The following is an 18,419-nucleotide window of genomic DNA, read 5'->3' as shown; positions in this document are numbered from 1 at the left end:
TCTGAGCCCGGGTGGTTCCTGAGTAAGGGTTCTAGAAGCACTCCTGGTCCCCTTCAACAGAATGTTCTACTTTGGTCTTTGGTTATCATATGTAAAAAGCAACTCAGTAAACTACCTAAAATAATATGCTTGAAAGCCATATTGTAGCCTCATTATCTTCAATGTCTTAATGATCAAATTTTATTGACTGAAGAGTCATTTAATTGATCTTGCTGGTCACCTGCCATTAACATGGACTCGAAATTTGAAAGTCTTAAAAGACTCACAGATATAATTTCTGTGAATTTTTTACCCACTAATTATATCTCTGCCATAGTTTAATTGTATATAAATAATTTCTAAAAGCTGCATTATTAAGCTCCCCCAAAATAGACATTCCTATAATTAACTGGAATAAATATAAACACTATTAGAACATAAAATAATACCGGCTTTCATCTGAGGAATCACACAGATAACATTTCACATGTAACAAAATAGATGATCCATAACTAAGTTAATTTATAATTAATATGTAATGAAATATAAAATATAATAATGTCCAGAGTAATTGAATGTAGGTCATAAAGACTAATCGGATTTATTGAGTAACAGAATTGAATTGTAGATACCATTTTTCTATTTTATAGATTAGAAAACTAAAACTTAATGATATTAGGCAATTTGCCCCCAAGTTATACAACTAGTAGAAAGTGGTAGAGCAAGAAAATAAAAATGATGTCAATTTGACACATACGGTAGTTATCCATTATGTGATCAAGTTAAGGTACAAAATGTATCAAAGTCATCACTTATATTTTCCAAATTACCCAAATAGCTAGATTGTGTTAGGATGACTAAGAATGTGACCATCTAAGTGGCCTAGGTTGAATACACATCTGTGAAAAGCACTGATTAATTAGGTTCTTTTTTTCTTTCTATGATTATCTGCCCAGCCATTTCTTCACATCTTCTTCTATAATTTTTATTTCTTTCTGTCCTACAAACATTTCTGGGCACAGACATCACCTCCCAAAACTAAAAAAAAAAAAGAAAAAAGGAAAGGAAAATGTGTCTATTTACCCAAGTAATAAAAAACGTACTTAAGTCAAAGTTATTGTTATATCTCTGCTTATTCAGACCACCAAATTATTAATAAAAAGAATCATTTCATCATCTCAAATATAAAATCTATAGTAATCAAGTTCTCTGCCATTTTTTTCCAAGGATATATGAAAATTGTTCCTGTAAGGCCTTGCATTTGTCTCTCTTGTGTACAAATTCTCCTTCCATCTCAAATTATGTTACAGCCCTTTTTCTGTATTTTAGTCAATTTTTTAAAAAATTAAATCCATTTCCATCCTGGACAATTTACTATGAAAGGCGATATTGAACTCCCAATGTACAGCATGCAAAAGATAAACACGAACTAACTTCTGTCATGTAAATATAAGTGACCTTCTTTGATTAGTTGGAAGAGAGGTACATAATATTTCTTGTTACCTAATCAAGAAACTACACAATTTCTCTTAGAAAAATAACACCTTTGCCCAACAACTTTGTTTGCATATGGAATTTAAGTAACATAGGGACACACCTCTTCATAATTTTAAATTGACTTATAGGAGTTTTATGGAATAAGCATTCTGAATTATTATGGGAAATTTGTGAAATTCAAAAGAAGGCCATTTAAATTTTAAAACTATATAGATTTTTAAAATGTCAACTTCACCCAAGCAACTTTATTTAATACCAAATTAAATGGCATTTACTTTGGAAACAGTTTTGCTGCTTTTAGAAAATTTTACATTGTCACAAAATATGATTTTGCTTAATAACTATTACTTCCTTTTATACATTACTTGAATATTATAGCTCTGTCCATTTAAGAAAATTGGATGACTTTGTTAAATGTCCATTAAAAATGAATGAAATTAAGAGCTAGTTTCCTAATCAAATCCTAATCATTACGGTTACTCCTCTCAATTTCTTTATAAGAAAACAAGTAAAAAGAGAGTGAGACAGATATTTAGCATATATATGTACAGTAAATATGACGGTGTTACTGGTAGAATGGCTATAAAAATATATTAGTACACAAAACACCTCTGTATTTACATAAGCTTAGGTAGGAAAATGCTGTAACTGGACCAAAAAAAGAAAAATCCTAATTCACATCCCTAGAAACCTTTAACTTATTAATGTCCTTTTGTTTACAAGGTAGTAAAAGTCAGTATTTATAAAATATAGAGACATAAATAAAATAATAAATATAATACAAATTACCTTGATTGATGTAGATGCTCATCAATAAACATAATTTTGGCCCTTACTTAAGGTGTGATCAAACGAAAAAACGACCCATGCAGTAAATCACCAGGATTATTCCTCTATCTTTTAAAGTTGAAAAACTGATTTATAGATAAATTCAGTAGGTAGCTATGCTTCATTTTACCAGGAAGACAAATATAAAACTGACAGAGTGAAGTGTAAAAATACAGAGGCACAGATTTTGTGCTAATATACCCTATTTAGAAAACCTTCACCAGGACTCAGTACCAAATTGAGAAATTCAGTAGGCCTTTACAAATATTAAAAAAATTGAACCGGAAGTAGACTAGGAACCGAGAACATGATATGCCAAATGGCAGAGAGAAGGCTATGCTTTCTAGAAGCACCTTTTGGTTCAGGAAGCTCTCCAGTGAAAATCTCCTTCTCAAATATTAAGACAGAAGAAACTGTGAAAAACAAAATGTCCATCCAGCTAACACTTGGTCACCCAATAAATGCACCATGAACTGCCCATCACTTGTCTAATATCATTTCTAACTGACTTCTGTCCATGATCATTTTTAATCCAAAGGAAAATGTTTAAAGCAACCTAACACACACACACACACACACACACACACACACACACACCCCCCTATCAAAACAAGACTGCTAAGAAAAGTGGGTTTAAATTGTTCATAATTTAGAAACATTAGGGTCAATAGTTTCATTTTGCAGTTTTTCCACTGCAAGTATCAGGGAAGGACACCTAAGTATTAATGTTAGTCTGGACATCATTTTAATAATACCCCAAAAGCAGCAACTGAAACCAACTGGCTGTAAGAACCCACTACTCTTCATTTTTTATGAATAGTCTTGTTCCACTTTGGTAACGACAGTTTATCAATGTGTTACAACCAGAGTAAACTAGGCCTCTGTAGAATCCTCATCTGTTTCTAGGAATGAAGCATCATTCCCTAATATACAGTTTCACTGTAATGAATATTATACCTTGATTGCAACTTCGCAGTGGCTATCGCCAAAAACCTTCATAAACTCTTTCATAGAAATGATGTCTTGTGTTTACCATCCCCATAGCAAAAAATAAATTTTATATATATATAGCAGTTTTTCATCAAACCATAGACATGGACAATAATCATTTACAACTTTGAAAGGTCACAATACCCTACCTTTCCTACATAGAGGGGGTCTGAACCCATGTATTCCTCCAGCACAAAGAACTGATTCCACACCCAGCTGCGCTTGGTCCGGGACCTCCCTGATTGGAAATAGGGCTTTGATCTGGACCTTGAGAGTTCTGCTTGACTCATCCCAGAAAAACACAGGAAAAGAGCTATTAGCTGCAGAAAATGGCAGAACTCCACTTTGCCCAACTTCATCTTTTTTTTTTCTTTCTTTTTCCTGTGTAAGAAAAAAACCTTGACAAGAGAAAAGGCACAGTTCCAGTTGGCTTAGTAGCTCTTGCCTCCGGCAGGGTGTCAGCTGGGAGTCCAGAGATAATAATCTGTAGAGTGTTGGATTGGAAGAGGTCACCACTGCTGAATAGCCTTCGCCAAAGAATGGTGTAGTAAGTACCTATCAGAACAAAGAGAAGAGCTGGTGTCAGGAACCAAAACACATAATAATATTTAGCATTCATTGACTAATCTACTATTGATTTTCTTAAGACTATACAAATTTCCAAGATTATACAAATATCATAATTTGTGTAATTAAAATATTAATTATATACTTAGAAAATTATAATATACATTGATATATTTGTGAATTACATAAATACAGCTGATGCAGAACTATCTTCATTTCATAACACTACTTTAAAATATCACTTTTCTTCTAGGGCATTTTATTTGAGCATATGGTTTATTTTACACAAATGTAGCGGCATCATTTTAAAAATCATTTTAATGTTAGCCTTTATTTTTTTTCTTTTATATTACAGTGATTTTCATTCGTTGGTATTAGAATGTGAAAGCAAAGCAACTCAAAGCAGAAATTTAACCAAATGGGAAGGACACATGCTGGTTTAAATCTCTTCTGTGAAACTGTAAAGAGAAATAAAGAAGTATGAGGTGATGCAAAACTGGTTGATTGATTCTGAGTCACAGAACACCAGCTGTTTTGATGTGTTCTGATTTGATTGTGGTCAGCTGAAAAGCTCAGTAGTTTCCATTTTCCACTCTTTGAACTTATTGTCATGTATGCTGTGTAGCATGTTAGGTTATGCTATTGCATTGCGGTTATTTGCTATTTTACAATTATTTATTGAGCATCTTGCAGCATGAGTTGTGCATAGTAGGGCCTCCCTACATAAACATTTATAGAATTGAATTATGTTGATCAACAGAAGAGTGAGAAAACAGCTGTATTTGTGAGGCCCATTCATTGCTGGCATGCATCCAGGAGGTGCTTTAGCAGAAGCATGGAAAAGCCCTTTTATTCTAATGTCTATTTATTTCAGTTACAGAATTCTGATTATGCAAGAGATATAAAATCAGTTACAAAACAAACTTTCGAACATACCCCTAAAACACAAAGAAATGAGAATTTATGACAAAGTCCTCACTTAAATCACCATGTTGCACTTTGGTTTATGAATTCATTTTACTTCCTATAAATAAATCAACAATAGAACAATTAAGGCAAAGAAGTATCATTTGCCTATTTCTGTTTTTTTTTTTTTTTTGAGGAAGAGGAGAAAAATATAGTGTTGAGAACATAAAGCCAAAAGATGTCTCCTATTAAGGCAGAAAATGCACTATCCTCATAAGCTTTTCAGTCTTTCTACCTGTCCCTTCTGTAAGAAGAGTGTCTGTTATACAATAAAAAAATATTTTTGATAGTCAAATTTCTTAAGAAAATACTATATGTAGTAAAAGAAATGTGAAACAAATATATACATACATACAAATTTATCAAATTTTTAAATCGTTCACATGACTAGAAAAAACAGGTTCCAATGACTTTGGGCAATGAACTGTTAAAATGAATGCATACATTTAAAAATATATATCTATAAAGTTTTGATATTCCAGAGGGCATTTAAGGAAAAGCCAATGTTCATCTAATTACTGTACCTGAGAGCCACCAGAATGGTAACTCTTAACTGCACCCTGTGCAGAGAACACAATCTACCCAAATCCAGATACCCTATCCAAGGATCAAAAATAAATTTATTCCATTTAGAAACCACCCTAGAGGGCCAGTTGTTCTAGCTTTTGACTTATAAAGAACAAGTAACTTGGGATCATGCCTTGATGTTCCAATGTAGGCCCCTTAATTAAGTTGGAAGTTTATTGTAGGTAGGTCTGACTAACCCACCTGAAAGGCGTGCTTCCTACAGTTTAAAAAGGCAGGGACGTGCTTAAACTTGATCTGGACATGGTGCACTAGTGTAGGGATTAGTCCAGTGATGAGATGAGAATCGTGAAGAGTGGTCTTCAGTAGGAATGGCTGACAGTATGGGAAGGGGCAAAGTCATGTAGCTTCTTCCTTCATATAGTGGTAAACCAGTCTCCTGGGGATGGGGAGGGATGGTTTAGAGATCTGGTCAGGTGGCTGAGACAAGCATGTGAGGTCTGTGGCCATAGAACAGTTCCAGTTTCACCACTCTCCCTTCTCAAGAGAATGAATTCTCTCTTAAAGACAATGACATAAACACTTTGGCTCCTGATAATATAGTTTTTAGATGCAATAGAGCAAAATTATACCATTTAGGCTACTTTATGGATTGAGGGGATGTGGTAACATTGTTTCAGAGAGTGACAATACATCCAACTTCTAAAAACCTAAATAGCAAATGAGCTTTTGGAATTCAATACTTGAGGAGTTAGTTACCAGTAAAGACTGTTGGTGTCTGCATCGGATAAATATTCAAATTCTGGGTCAGTCATGTCTTAACTACGTAATCTTGAATAAGTTAAATTCTAAGACGTTCCAGAGATAAAACCTTAAGTCTCTCATCTATAAAACAAAGATGATAATAATGGCATCTACTTCATAGGATTAAATGAGCAAATCATGAGATGATAAAAATAGTGCCTGGCAATCAAAAATGTATTTTTAAAAAGTTCTTGGGATTATTATCATATTTTTTAGTTTGAAACTGGCTATGTTAAAATTAGTTTATGGGTTGATGTTAGTTTTCATTGGAATGTTATCTATATTCAAATGTTTTAGACAACTCTTACACCAAGTGAAAGCATTTTGATAGTTGTAGTTGGTTCCAGAGAACCATATGGTCATAAATCAAAAAATCAAGATGAATACAAAGGCGCCAAAGTACTATATATATATGTATAATTCTTTATTTCTTAAAGGCATGCCTTCTGTAATTTTTTAGAAATCAAACACAAATATCAGAGCTGGAGAAATTTATTTTAGTTCACTAGGTGTTTACTGATGAGGAACGAAGCACACAGTCTGGACTAGGGATAAGAGCACAGGACTCATTGTCCTACAAGCTCCACCACTTTGTACGACCTTGGATTGCTCCGGGATTTTATTTTCCACAGTTGCAAAATGAAGGAGCTGAACTCAATTATCTTATAAAGTCTATTTCTTTTTTCAGGTCTTACTTTTCTACTTTTTGACAATTATATAAAATTGATTTTGTTAGCTCTTTTAAAGCTGTGATAAAATACACATTGTTAATAATAAAAGATAATGGGGGCCGGGTGTGGTGGCTCATGCCTGTAATCCCAGCACTTCGGGAGGCCAAGTCAGGAAAATCACAAGGTCAGGAGATCGAGACCATCCTGGCTAACATGGTGAAACCCTGTCTCTACTAAAAATTAAAAAAAAAAAAAAATTAGCCGGGCATGGTGCCACACACCTATAATCCCAGCTACTTGGGGGGCTGAGGCAGGAGAATCGCTTAAACTCGGGAGGTGGAGGTTTCAGGGAGCCGAGACGGCACCACTGCACTCTAGCCTGGGTGACAGCGAGATTCTGTCTCCAAAAGAAAAAAGAAAAAAAAAAAAAAGATAATGGGCAGAGAAATTTAAGGAAGTTATAGGAATGTAAAATAAACATTTGACTTGCTTATAAAATGCAACATTCACTTTAAGAAGAGCTGTTTAATGTACTCTTCTTGCTCTTGAAGATTATTTCTCTTCCATTCAACAAGACTGGAGATTTATCAAATTAGCTAGAACATATCAAAGAAGGGAGTTACAGAACATGGCATGGGTTACATTAAAGTCATTGAAATAATGTCTGTGAAGGGAAGATACTTGATAATTGAGCAACTCATTTTAATCAAGGGTTTTTAAAAGCAGCTAGTATAAACATAAACCTTGATGAAGAAGGAGATCTACCCTATCGTATCTGTAGTATCTACGACTGAAGTAGGCACATAATTGACATTCGGAAACCATTTACATAATGCTCATTTTCATTATGATCAACCTCATTTTTTGATATGAAAAGTTAACCGTATAACAAGTCAAGATACAAATTCCTTGGTAAGTCAACCATGTTTATAAGTCACAATCACTTTCAAGAAAATTCCATTATATTTCTCTGCAGTATTTGAAGTATTTGCCAACCTCTTGAGCTAAATTGTCTTTACCTTGATCCAAGTTCTATCAGAGTGCACAAGGATATTTAACTGGCATTGTGTATATTATCAGAGGACGAAATTTTCTTTTTTGAGATAAGTGTCTCTGTCATACTCTTTGTGGAATGCACTTGGAAAATCAGAAAACAGTGTGTGAACCATTGTGATCTGAAGTGAGGATGTTTCACGTGTTCCCCAGTATTTTTGGCAGTAACCAACTCTCCCAGGAACATATGCCCTCTATAGCAGGGGAAGAGTCGCATGGCCTCAGGTCAGGTGCCACCTTTCCTTATCAGTCTTTCACAAATGTTTGCCTTCTTTTTCAATCAAATCTCATTTTCAAGAGAAAGGCGAGTATAGCAGTTCAACTGGTTTCATTCTGTCCTGAGCTGGGTATCATGAAAGAAATAAGGGCTCTGAAGCATTATTTTAAAAAGCCTGTAGTTCTTTGTGGTTGTCAACCAGAAGTAATCCAAACTTAAACTTGAGATTTTTCTCACACACTGTATAACCTCTTTATAAGGCTTTTTATCTTCTTACAAATATCAACATGTAGAAAGATACCACAATAACTTTTATTACATTTAAATGAACTTGAGTACAGAGTCAGTAACAAATTGTTGACTTTTCACAATGGATTAAATATTGCCTCACAAATCTGTGCCTAAAGCAAAAACACTGCATCCCTCTTTAGAAGTCTATGTTGTTTATCTTCTATCTTCCACCTCCTTTCCTATCTGAGTTTCATATACAGGAGTTAAAAACAAGATTCATGTCAGAAAAAAATGAGTACTCTGCATCCATGCATGTGGTTTGGAGAGCTGACCTCTTCACTATTACTAGTTCTTTAAAAAGTGCAGAAAAAAAAAATATATATATATATGGATATACAGTTGAAGGAATGTCTACAGATCTTTACAAACTTTTGGACACTGGAACATTTCTGAAGAGAAAAACAAGAACAGGTTATATCTGAGGAGAGAAGGGCACAGAGGTAAATCACAGATGTCTCAGGGAGTAGTAGTGATGGTTACTGGATAAATGATTAATCTGAAACGGAAAAAAAATTGAGGAAGATTTAAAATGTTTTTGTTTGATATTTTAAGGCTAAAACTTGTATTTTGAAAAACAATTTATAATATTTTTCCATGTTTTACAAACTGAAATACATGAAAATCACAAGTAGTACTGTGATAAGCATAACAGATCTTAATCATCAGAATATAAAATAAAACACTGAAAAATATATTTTGAACGGACTGAAGCAAAAAGAAAAAACAAGAGGTAAAAATCCCTTAAGCAGTATTTACTAAATCAACGTCATTTGATATGAAATCACTTGATCATGCTACCATTTTGTTCCAATTATTTTTGTTAAACTAAGTGGCAGTGTATTAGTTTCAAGTAGACTGTTTATTATCCACTTAACTTTAACAGCTAATGTTATTTTACCAAAACAAATTCATTACTATAACGTTTTCTTGGAATTTCTCCTCCACTTGACATCTCTAGGAAACCACTTTTAACAGATCAAGTGACTATCGTGCTCTTAATCAAATGGTGTTTTCAAACTTACAAACAATGACTAAAGGTCCTTTCATGCAAAAAAAAAAAAAACTGTTATGCATTAGCATATCAATTACTAATCAGCAAAATTGCGAGTCTTCCAAAACCTGTTCCATTCAAAGTCAACATGCTAAAAACATAACAAGTATACATCATATTCAGCCACTGCACACTAACATATCACCACAAGAGTAGTTTTTAAAACATGGCTAACTGCCAATTAATTCATATGTTCTAGACTGCTTTTTTAAAAAGTACACAGTGCTGTATGCTTTCTAGAAATAATATGTGCTATGATATATAACTATCAGCTATACTAAAAGGAAATATAGGACTATTTTTGGTTTTGTGGCACTTAATGTTGAACTGGAATGTGTTTGTTGCAGTCCAATATAAATAAGCAATGGCTTATCACAATTAAAGACCACATTCCACCAAACTTTCTCTAAATTCTAGGCAAGGAGCAGCTGCTCATGCTCTCTGCTGTCTGGAGTCTGCCTCAGATGCAGGTCTTCTGAAACTGTTTTGAAATAGACTTAATATATAACACACTAACACACAGCTTATTATCAATTGGTAATGCTGATTTAAAGAAGTTATGCCTCTCTTTTAAAAACTGGTATAGTTTATGACTAGATGGAGAATGATAGTCCAAGACTAAATTCAATTATTTGCATTTTCTAGAAAAACAAGTGTAGGAATGACATTTGAGGACTGTCAGTGTACTTAATAGAGAATCAGAAAAATCCATAATGGTTGTCTGACAAACACCTCCAGAATCTAACTGATATTCCCTGAGACATTTTGTTGGCTGACCTATGAAACATAATAGTACAAGACATCACAGTTGGAATAATAGCACCAAAATAGAAAAAATATTGTTGAGCTATTGGGGGGAAACTGTCATTTCCAAGATTGCTTTAAGGTTGAACTACATTTAGGCAGCAGCATGTTTTTAATGAATCTTTAAGTAGGGTGAAAGATGTACATGTTTAAAAGTGGAAATGACACCATTCCACAGCAAGGGAACTATGAAACATATTACCATTGTTTTAAGATGAACCTTCTATTTACTAGTTTTTGTTTTGTTTTGTTTTTTGTTTTTGTTTTTGTTTTTTTGTTTGTTTTGTATAGTCTAGGAGAAGTCTGTTTCTTTTTAGGAATTCCTTGGATATTTAATGGTTTTATTTAAATTCCATGAAGAGACTGCCTGCTGATTCATCCACTGTCTTCTCTGAAGACTTTCATTTGCTCTTGTGTCCCCAGTACAGCTGCCACTGTCACCTGTTACCACTGAGGTCCTCCCTGTGATTTATCCCAGTCCACAGAGTTAGAGTAGTCTGCTTTGTGTAAAGGATAGTACTTATTCATTGTTGCTTTTGCCTATTTTTATTGTAGAATCCCTTAATACATTTTTGGGAATGCCAAAGGGGGAAAATATATTCTAATCCCCTCCTATTCATGACTGAGCAGATGCCATAATACAACACTAGAGAGAAAACAGTCCTGGACAGAATGTTTTCAGAGCTGAAGCCACACTTCATTTCGAACCACAACATTACCAGCCACACTATTCAGGACAATGTCTAAGAGATAAATAAAGAGGATGCCATTTCAATACTGAAAAATGTAATAGTTTGGTTTTCATTAGGGTTCATGTTAGAGGAAAAACATTTTAAAATCTTCAAATTCTGCTGCTCCTTAAGTTTGAAGATTCCCAAAGTGGTGGAACCACAGATTGATGACATGTTTGAGCTGCAATAGATGTTAGAAAAACCAAGGTAGCCCTTGCTTTACTTTGAACAAAATGGAAATCTACAGATTCCCAGTGAAATGCCCAAGGTCACACAGCTAGGTACTGATCCAATATCCATTGCATAACTGTATGTAATGAGTATTTTAAAGTATTTGTTAAAAATTGCTCATTCTGGTAATAAGTGCTTTTGCAATGTGTGATCTTTGGAACTTATCATCTTTCCTAAAAGTGAAACAAAGTAGATTTGGCTGTACTTAAATTTTTATACGACCATAAGTTTTAATTTTCTAAGTAGGTAATGGTAACCATCATTATCATTCAGAAGGGCAGAAAATGCAGACTAAGAAGAAAGGGTGAAGGAACCTATTGTCTAGGGTTGTATGTTTCTATCTTACAAAAAAATGAAGAGTGAGCTCTATCCAAATTTAAAATTGCTTTTTCCCTTCTAAACAACTCTGGAATCCAAAAATAATTTCCTACTACACTATGACACAAGGTAGCTAACTATTTCCACTGAAATTTAAACAACAGCCCAGTGAACATTGTAGAAATAGGGTACCAACTCAGGACAGTATATTAGGATATAAACTCTATATATGGGGCCATTTTGTTTGGCAAAATAAGTATCATTCCTATTGTACCCTTTTGGTTGGTGACATAAGTCCTATATTTTGAGATGACTGCTTGCTGCTGATATTCGCATTATAATCATCCTAAACTTAATGTTGCTATCTTCAGTTTCTAGTATAGTAATATACTAACATTAATTTGTTTCATCTGTATACCATTTAAAGTTTAACATCACATTCGATAATTTTAATTCTGATGAAAGAGCTCTCTCTTTTGTACTTAAAAGGTATAATTTTTTACATTTTAATTAGTGAGGCTAGGGACTCTCTGTGATATGTGACTTCTCACGTAAAGAAACTGCGATCAAATCCATTAGCTCCCTGGGCCAGATAACATTACAACCACAGACCACAACCTCCTACTGTTAACTGGCCTAAATATGCAGGCAGGGGCCCTGGAAATGAATCACACAGCCTGTAGTGTGCATCTGGTTATCAAACACAGAAAGAAAACTTCTCAAAGTGGATTACAGACTCAATTTCAACTAAGCACAACTTCTGCCATGGGTGAAATGAATTTTTTAAAAGGGGAAACAAGAGTTTATAATTAACTAGAAGAAACATTCGTAAATTAAAAAGTAAACAAAGTAACAAGGCACAATCTTTCTGAGTTATTTATGTAATAAAATGGTAAAATTATATTCAGAGAGTTTTTTATAATTTATTCTTACAAGAAATCTTAGCTGTATCAACTATAATTTTTAATTTGCCCTTGTATTTACCTTGGGCCACGTGTGATTTATGTGACTTCAATAAAAGTCAGCAGGTTTCAATAAACACTTTGCAAAATAGCAGAAAAGAGATTCTACCAGAATGAAAATCTATACTATAATCTGAAATGAAGATATGGACAGATGTCTGCATATTCATTTGAACTGGTAATTTTATCTGTGAGACTTGCAGAAAAACAAGGGGGAAGTGCTTGCAGGGGTATCTTTCTGCAGAACCAGCAAATCCCCAGAGGAGGCACTCGTGTATTGCTGGTTACAGCTAGATCTGCTCTGCTTGTCAGACGCTGGGGAGATGGTCACACACAAGACTCTGATCACATGTCTTCTTTCCTTGTCCTCAGCTCCCCTTTATCACCCCACCAAGTAGCATCTGATTCCTTCATCCAAGGAAGAAAAAGCTTCCATCTCAAACCCTTTGCAATCAACTAATGCATGTTAGTTATTTTAGAAGTTCCTGAAACTTCCAATTTAAGCTAAGGCTTTGAAGACTTCCAATCAAGTAAAAGACATTTGTGTGTGTGTAAGAGAGAGAGAACTGTGATGTGATACAAGCTATTAATGCAATAAATGTAAAACCTTATGAAATCCAGGAAGATTGTAACCATTCAGCAATAAATATCCACAGCACAGAACAATTTGTGAGTTTAGTATTTTATAAATTATTTCTGAAAGATCTGACAAAAAAGTATTTGCTCAACACAAAAATATATTCACTTCCTTATATCAGTATACACTCTGAGGAGTTTATATCAGCTTTGCCATCAAAAAAGCAAAATGCTGAATAACAGGGAAACCAGTAAAGACACTAGTGCCCAGGAGAGACAGTCATTTGATTTTTAGGCCAAGGAAGGCTGAACAGTGGCCAACTCCGCGTGCTCTCCACCCTCTCTTCTTCATTGGACACTAAACACTAGAGTCAATTCAAGGGTAAATTGCAGTAATATAGATGCTTTACAATTATCCTTTTATAAGAAAGGAAAAAGCTCTGTGCTATTAAATCAATAAAAGTAGACTTAAGAAGACTTGTGAGTCTGTAAAGTGATTAACACAATTCTAATGACCTCTTGCAGCCCTTAATTACAATAATATCTCACGTTGTAAGTGCACAATGCCCTTTTATTAAAGCTGCAAACCTTAATAGCTTTTAGCAGGGTGATGGTCTGTGCTACTGATTATTGTTTTCTTTATTTTTCTTTCCTCAGACAGACTCGGCTAGCTTTCCCAGATAAGACTATTGACGTTGGATGTTACCTAATTGCTCTGCTATCCCACTCCATATTAAACACTAACACAGAAGCAAGACTTCCACAAAGTTGCCAGTCTTCCTACCTGTCTCAATTCTTTTGCATTTTAATTCATACTGTTCAAAATAGCCTTAAAAATAAAGAAAAGGATTCTTCATGCATTTCCCCTTGACATATAGAACAAGAAAATATCCTAGGTAAACCAAAGTCTAACTAGTTCTTTAGGAAAGAAGTAATTCTTGGTGAGTTACTGAACGCTTCAAATGTAATTAATTTTTTTTCTTAGCTCTTTTCTCCCATAACAATTTGCCTTTATAAAGACTCTCTTAAAACTATTTAGATATTGTGTCTATGCAAACTTTCCTTTAGAAAAAAAGACTGCTACTGCTCTTAAACTCTTAAAATACACATTTTTTGTGTGAGGTGTTATCTGCTTTTAAAAATACATACTTGTCACTTGGCAAGGGCCATATATTAACAAGTCACTTACATTTTTCTCTTATTTTTTGTATAAAGTTATGTTTATCTACTTCTCTATGAAAAATGATCTGAACACCTGTCTAGTAGCTACAGAAATTATGAGGACAAGTCTTACGTAAAGGTCTCACTTAATAAACGATCTAATAGAGACAAGATATTTATTGCAAAGCAAAAGATGTTATAAGTACATTCCTCGTTCAATTTGCAGATCTCCAAAGCCTTGATACACCCAATCCTTGATGGTTTCTCAATAGTTTGCCATTTGCCCAGTGCTGGGTGAACTCATTGCCAATCTTTACTCACCTGAACTATGACATTTAAGAAATCCGTAGGGTTAACGATCTAAAACGTGAAGCGGTACAGAATAACGGGTCTTTTCTCATTAATCCACACTGGAAGGTTGAATACCGGCAAGTAGCAGTGTACCATGTGCACCCATGAAGAAGTCCACCATGCATTCAGAGAAGCAGGGCGCCCTTTTCCCAGCGCACACTTAAGGTACTGCCAGGCGGAGGGGACGCAGGATGCAGATGAACCAGATCAGCAGAATACTAATTACAGGGGAAAAAAGCAAAGCACCCTGAAGTGAGCTCCACCTTCACGAAAGGTAAAAGGTGTCCAGAGCGAATGGTTCAAAGGACTCCTGCCCAAAGCGGCGCATACCCCCTTCCAGCCTCAGACCTCTGCAGAACCCGGCGGCACAGCCGGCGCGGAGTTGTGCCCCCATCAGTCCGAGGTTGAGGGAGGAGCCTGCTTGTGGTCCTCTTTGAGGAGAGTGCTCCAGCCTGCCCATGTTTGCCGCTGCACCTGGAGAGTGCCGGGATTTGCTCTTACCCTCAACTACTACTCCTCGTGTCGCACCTGGTGTCTGTCAACACCGGCTTTCCGGGCCAAACGCCCCCGCCTCCGTCCACAAGCCTGTCCTGCCTTGCAGAGCCACATCTCACTGCAACACGCAGTAACTTGGGGACGCCAAGGGAAACTCCACACGGACATCCCCGCCCGCTCTCCGCTCACTGATTAGTCCTGCTTCCAAAGGCGCACAGCAAGGGCGCACATCTGCCCAGCGGCGCCTCCCCAGCCCCGCGCAGGCAGACACACTCACCTGGGGCCTCGCTGCCCTCCCCACGGCGTCAGACGCCAGGGACCCGGGCGTGTGCATCCGAAAGAACGTGCGCTCGGCTGCCGGACGCCCGCGGGCTCTTGGGGACCCAGTGCGCGCAGCTCCGCGCGCGGGGCAGACTGGAGGAACCGGCTCGACACCCGCTCGGGCCCGCCCGGCACGGGCTCCTCCTCCAATCACAGCCCACTCCGCGGTGCGCGGGGACCCTGCCCCGGCCTCGGGCGCCGGGGGCCCGCTGCGTCTGCTCACTGCGAGGGGCCCCTCCGGCTCGCCCGGGCAGCTGAGACGCAGGGTCCGGAGCCAGCGGGAGCGCGCGGCCAGAGAGAGGGCGAGAGGGCGCGCAGGAGAGGAGGAGAGAGCGCGCCGGAGCCGGGGCCGAAGAGGGAGGGGAAGAGGGCGACGATGGTGGGCGGCGGGCGCCTGCTGTCAGCGCTGTCGGAGGCCGGCCCAGGGAGCCACTGAGACTTCGGCGCCTCCCAGAGACCCGGTGGGGGCTACTGGAAAAGAACGCGAAGACGGAGCCGCTCGGCCGCCACGCGCGCACACACACACGCGCGCACCCTCGCGCACCCTCCTCCACCTCCCGCCTGGCGGATCTGTACAGATGGATTCCTTCGCAGGAAAATAAAGAAGAGGGGTGAAAGTAGGAGGGGCTGCAGCCCATCCATCTCTCCGTGAGGCATTTGCATCTGAAAGCACGGAGCTGGAGGAGAGTTTTGAGGGTATTTTCAAGCTGCCCCTCCAACACCCACCTTAGCCTGTCGTGAAAGCCGTGATCAGTTGAGCTCCTGAGGCATGAAGGCAAAGTCATAAAACTAATCAGAACTTACAGTTTTCTTGCTTGATAGTTTTGCCCTTTCAATCTCCTCGGACTGCCCTAGTTCTACTTTTTTTTTTTTTTTTTTTTTAACTTGCAGACAATTTTCTCCCCTGCTGGGCTCTCTAATGCTAAACTTCCAAAGTGTATGATTTACTCGCAGTGCGGGACAGAGGACCCTTGCAAGGTGTGGAAGGAAGGAAAGAAGGAAGGAAGAGGATCTGGTCTTTTCTTTAGAGCGCGGTGCAGCCCCTGGAGTTGAGCACGCTTTGTTTTCCCCTGCTCTGGTGCTCGCTTTAATCTGATGACTGGGTGTTCTGTCATAGGGGTTAGGAGGGGGAAGAGATCATTTCCAACTACCTTCCTTTCATTTTTCTCACTCTACCAATGGAAAGTGTCCTCTTTCTCTTACGCACTTATTCTTACTTAACCTTAGCAGTAATTCTTCGGATACCAGTTACATGGGCTTAGGCTTGTCCGTACCATTATCTCTGATTTCTTGTGCAGTCAAGCACACTTTTCTGTCCCCAGTCCAGCCTCTCCTGGCTATTTAACTGGCGCCATGCCTCCCCCACCTCGCCCATTCAATTTAGTCAATGTTTAAAACCGAATTCTATGCTAATAATTCTGACAGCAATTATGGACTCCTGTTAAGTTCCAGATACCATCCTATGTTGCTTACCTAACATTAATGCATTTTAAAAGTTCTAACTCCAACCCCAAAGCTCCCCAGATCCAGGGCTGCTTGGATGACCATTTCATGGTCCATTTCCACTCAGCTGTCAGCCATCACCCAAATTCAAGATGCTTAGAAAAGACCTCCGTATCTTTTTTTAGATATTAGCTTGGATTTTCCCTGTATGTTCTTTTCTGTCAGGGGCACTATCATTCACCTGGTAGCCAGGTATCAAACCTTGGCTTCATCTTTGAGCTCTTTGAAATACTTTTCTGTGTTAAAATGCTCAATTATTCTGGCTCATGTAGTACAATCTTTAGATTCAATTCAGATTTTTCTGGTAACATTACATATATTTGCCTTGTTTTGCCTACGAACTGACTTCTGGGATGAGATTTTTTCTTATAACTGTTCTGAACTAAAAGCTTCAGGAGGGCTGTGATTAATATTCAATATCATCAAGACACAGCACATGTTCGGCCCATAGTAAGCATTTTTTGAATAAAGAAGTGTTTGTATCCCATCTAGCATTTATCACAAATCTGACCATACCAAGCTATTTTTAAACTGCTCTTGGATTGCCTGGGTTGTTCATCTATAGGAGGTCATATTGTGATTGGGAATCAGAAACTGCACTGTTTTCATCTACCGGCTTGTTTTGGTCAAAAGACATTGCATAGAAAATGAAAATGTTTTGAGGCCCTTTAAGAAAAAGATATTTTTCCTCAAGTTTTCATATTTTTTCTCTTCTTATGACTCCACATAAATGTTGATTCCAAATGCACGCTTTCTTCTTAAACCATTCTATGTGCCTTCCTTTTAAAAAATTTCCTCAGTAACCTCTACAGAATCCAAAACAGGTGAAGTAATTTCAGTTAACCAAAATTCTAGCCCTGGTTCCCACACTAACAGCTGTTGATCTTAGAGGGAGGTCTAGATTCTTCTTGTCCAAAAGACACAACCTAGAGCAAGGGTAAGAACTGGGAATAATACAGACAGAAACCAAGGGACACCTTTTACCTAAGGGATGGTCTCTTTCTGAGGTGATGGCACATAGGCTGAAATGTAATGATGACAATGAGTCAGCGTTGTGCAGCTCTGAGGGAAGAATGATCTAGGCAGAATAAACAAGGGGAATGTCTGCGGCAGGAAGGGGTTGGATGTATGTACTGCAGGAAGGGAGGAGAATGGAGATGGATTATGTTGTAGTAATAGATATGGAATAGATCTTTCCAGGTCTTCCAGGCCCTGAAAGATGTTTATATTTTATCTTAGGAGGAAGCCCAGCATCAAGAACAGCAAGTAAGAGTTCACCAGGCTTAAGCTGTTGTCAAGTTTAGGGTCAACACATGTTTTATTAGGTCCTTTCTCCTCTTCTTTCTTTTTCTCACAATTTCTGGTTTGATTAGAAGACCCAGTTTTCTGAGAAACGCAACAACAACAACATAAAAAAACTGTAGTAGATGAATCCCAAGGCACTGCCAATTATTTAAGATTCCATAAACTACAAATGCAAGCCATAATGTCTTACTTACAAAATTTCATGTTTTCTTATACATTTCA

At 37.4% G+C, this 18,419-nt stretch overlaps 1 protein-coding gene across 4 annotated transcripts in view, besides 1 other annotated feature; it reads right to left on the bottom strand.

Moving 5' to 3' along the window:
• CDH7 (cadherin 7) overlaps positions 1–16,244 on the bottom strand; it is a 140,086-nt gene extending 123,842 nt beyond the window's left edge. For 2 of the 4 annotated variants that reach the window (NM_004361.5, NM_001317214.3), the window contains exons 1-2: positions 15,346–15,484; positions 3,444–3,849 (exon numbers count right to left, since the gene is read on the bottom strand). In NM_004361.5, coding sequence (NP_004352.2) covers positions 3,444–3,653 — 210 coding nt within the window. In that variant the 5' untranslated portion in view covers positions 3,654–3,849; positions 15,346–15,484. Of the gene's footprint in view, positions 1–3,443; positions 3,850–14,543; positions 15,485–16,115 lie in introns of those variants that run through there. The other 2 variants (NM_033646.4, NM_001362438.2) reach the window with 2 other exon arrangements.
• Positions 15,042–15,543: an enhancer, noted in NCBI's record as "H3K4me1 hESC enhancer chr18:63418189-63418690 (GRCh37/hg19 assembly coordinates)". NCBI's record gives its function as "activates a minimal SCP1, AML or CMV promoter by ChIP-STARR-seq in naive H9 embryonic stem cells {active_cell/tissue: H9 hESC(naive)}" and the evidence as "EXISTENCE:reporter gene assay evidence [ECO:0000049][PMID:30033119]".
• Positions 16,245–18,419: the final 2,175 nt, after the last annotated feature.

This window comes from Homo sapiens, chromosome 18 (assembly GCF_000001405.40).
Source record: "Homo sapiens chromosome 18, GRCh38.p14 Primary Assembly".
Taxonomy (NCBI): domain Eukaryota; kingdom Metazoa; phylum Chordata; class Mammalia; order Primates; family Hominidae; genus Homo; species Homo sapiens.
Note: the sequence above shows the minus strand (reverse complement) of the source record. Positions and strands in the feature narration are given on the sequence as shown.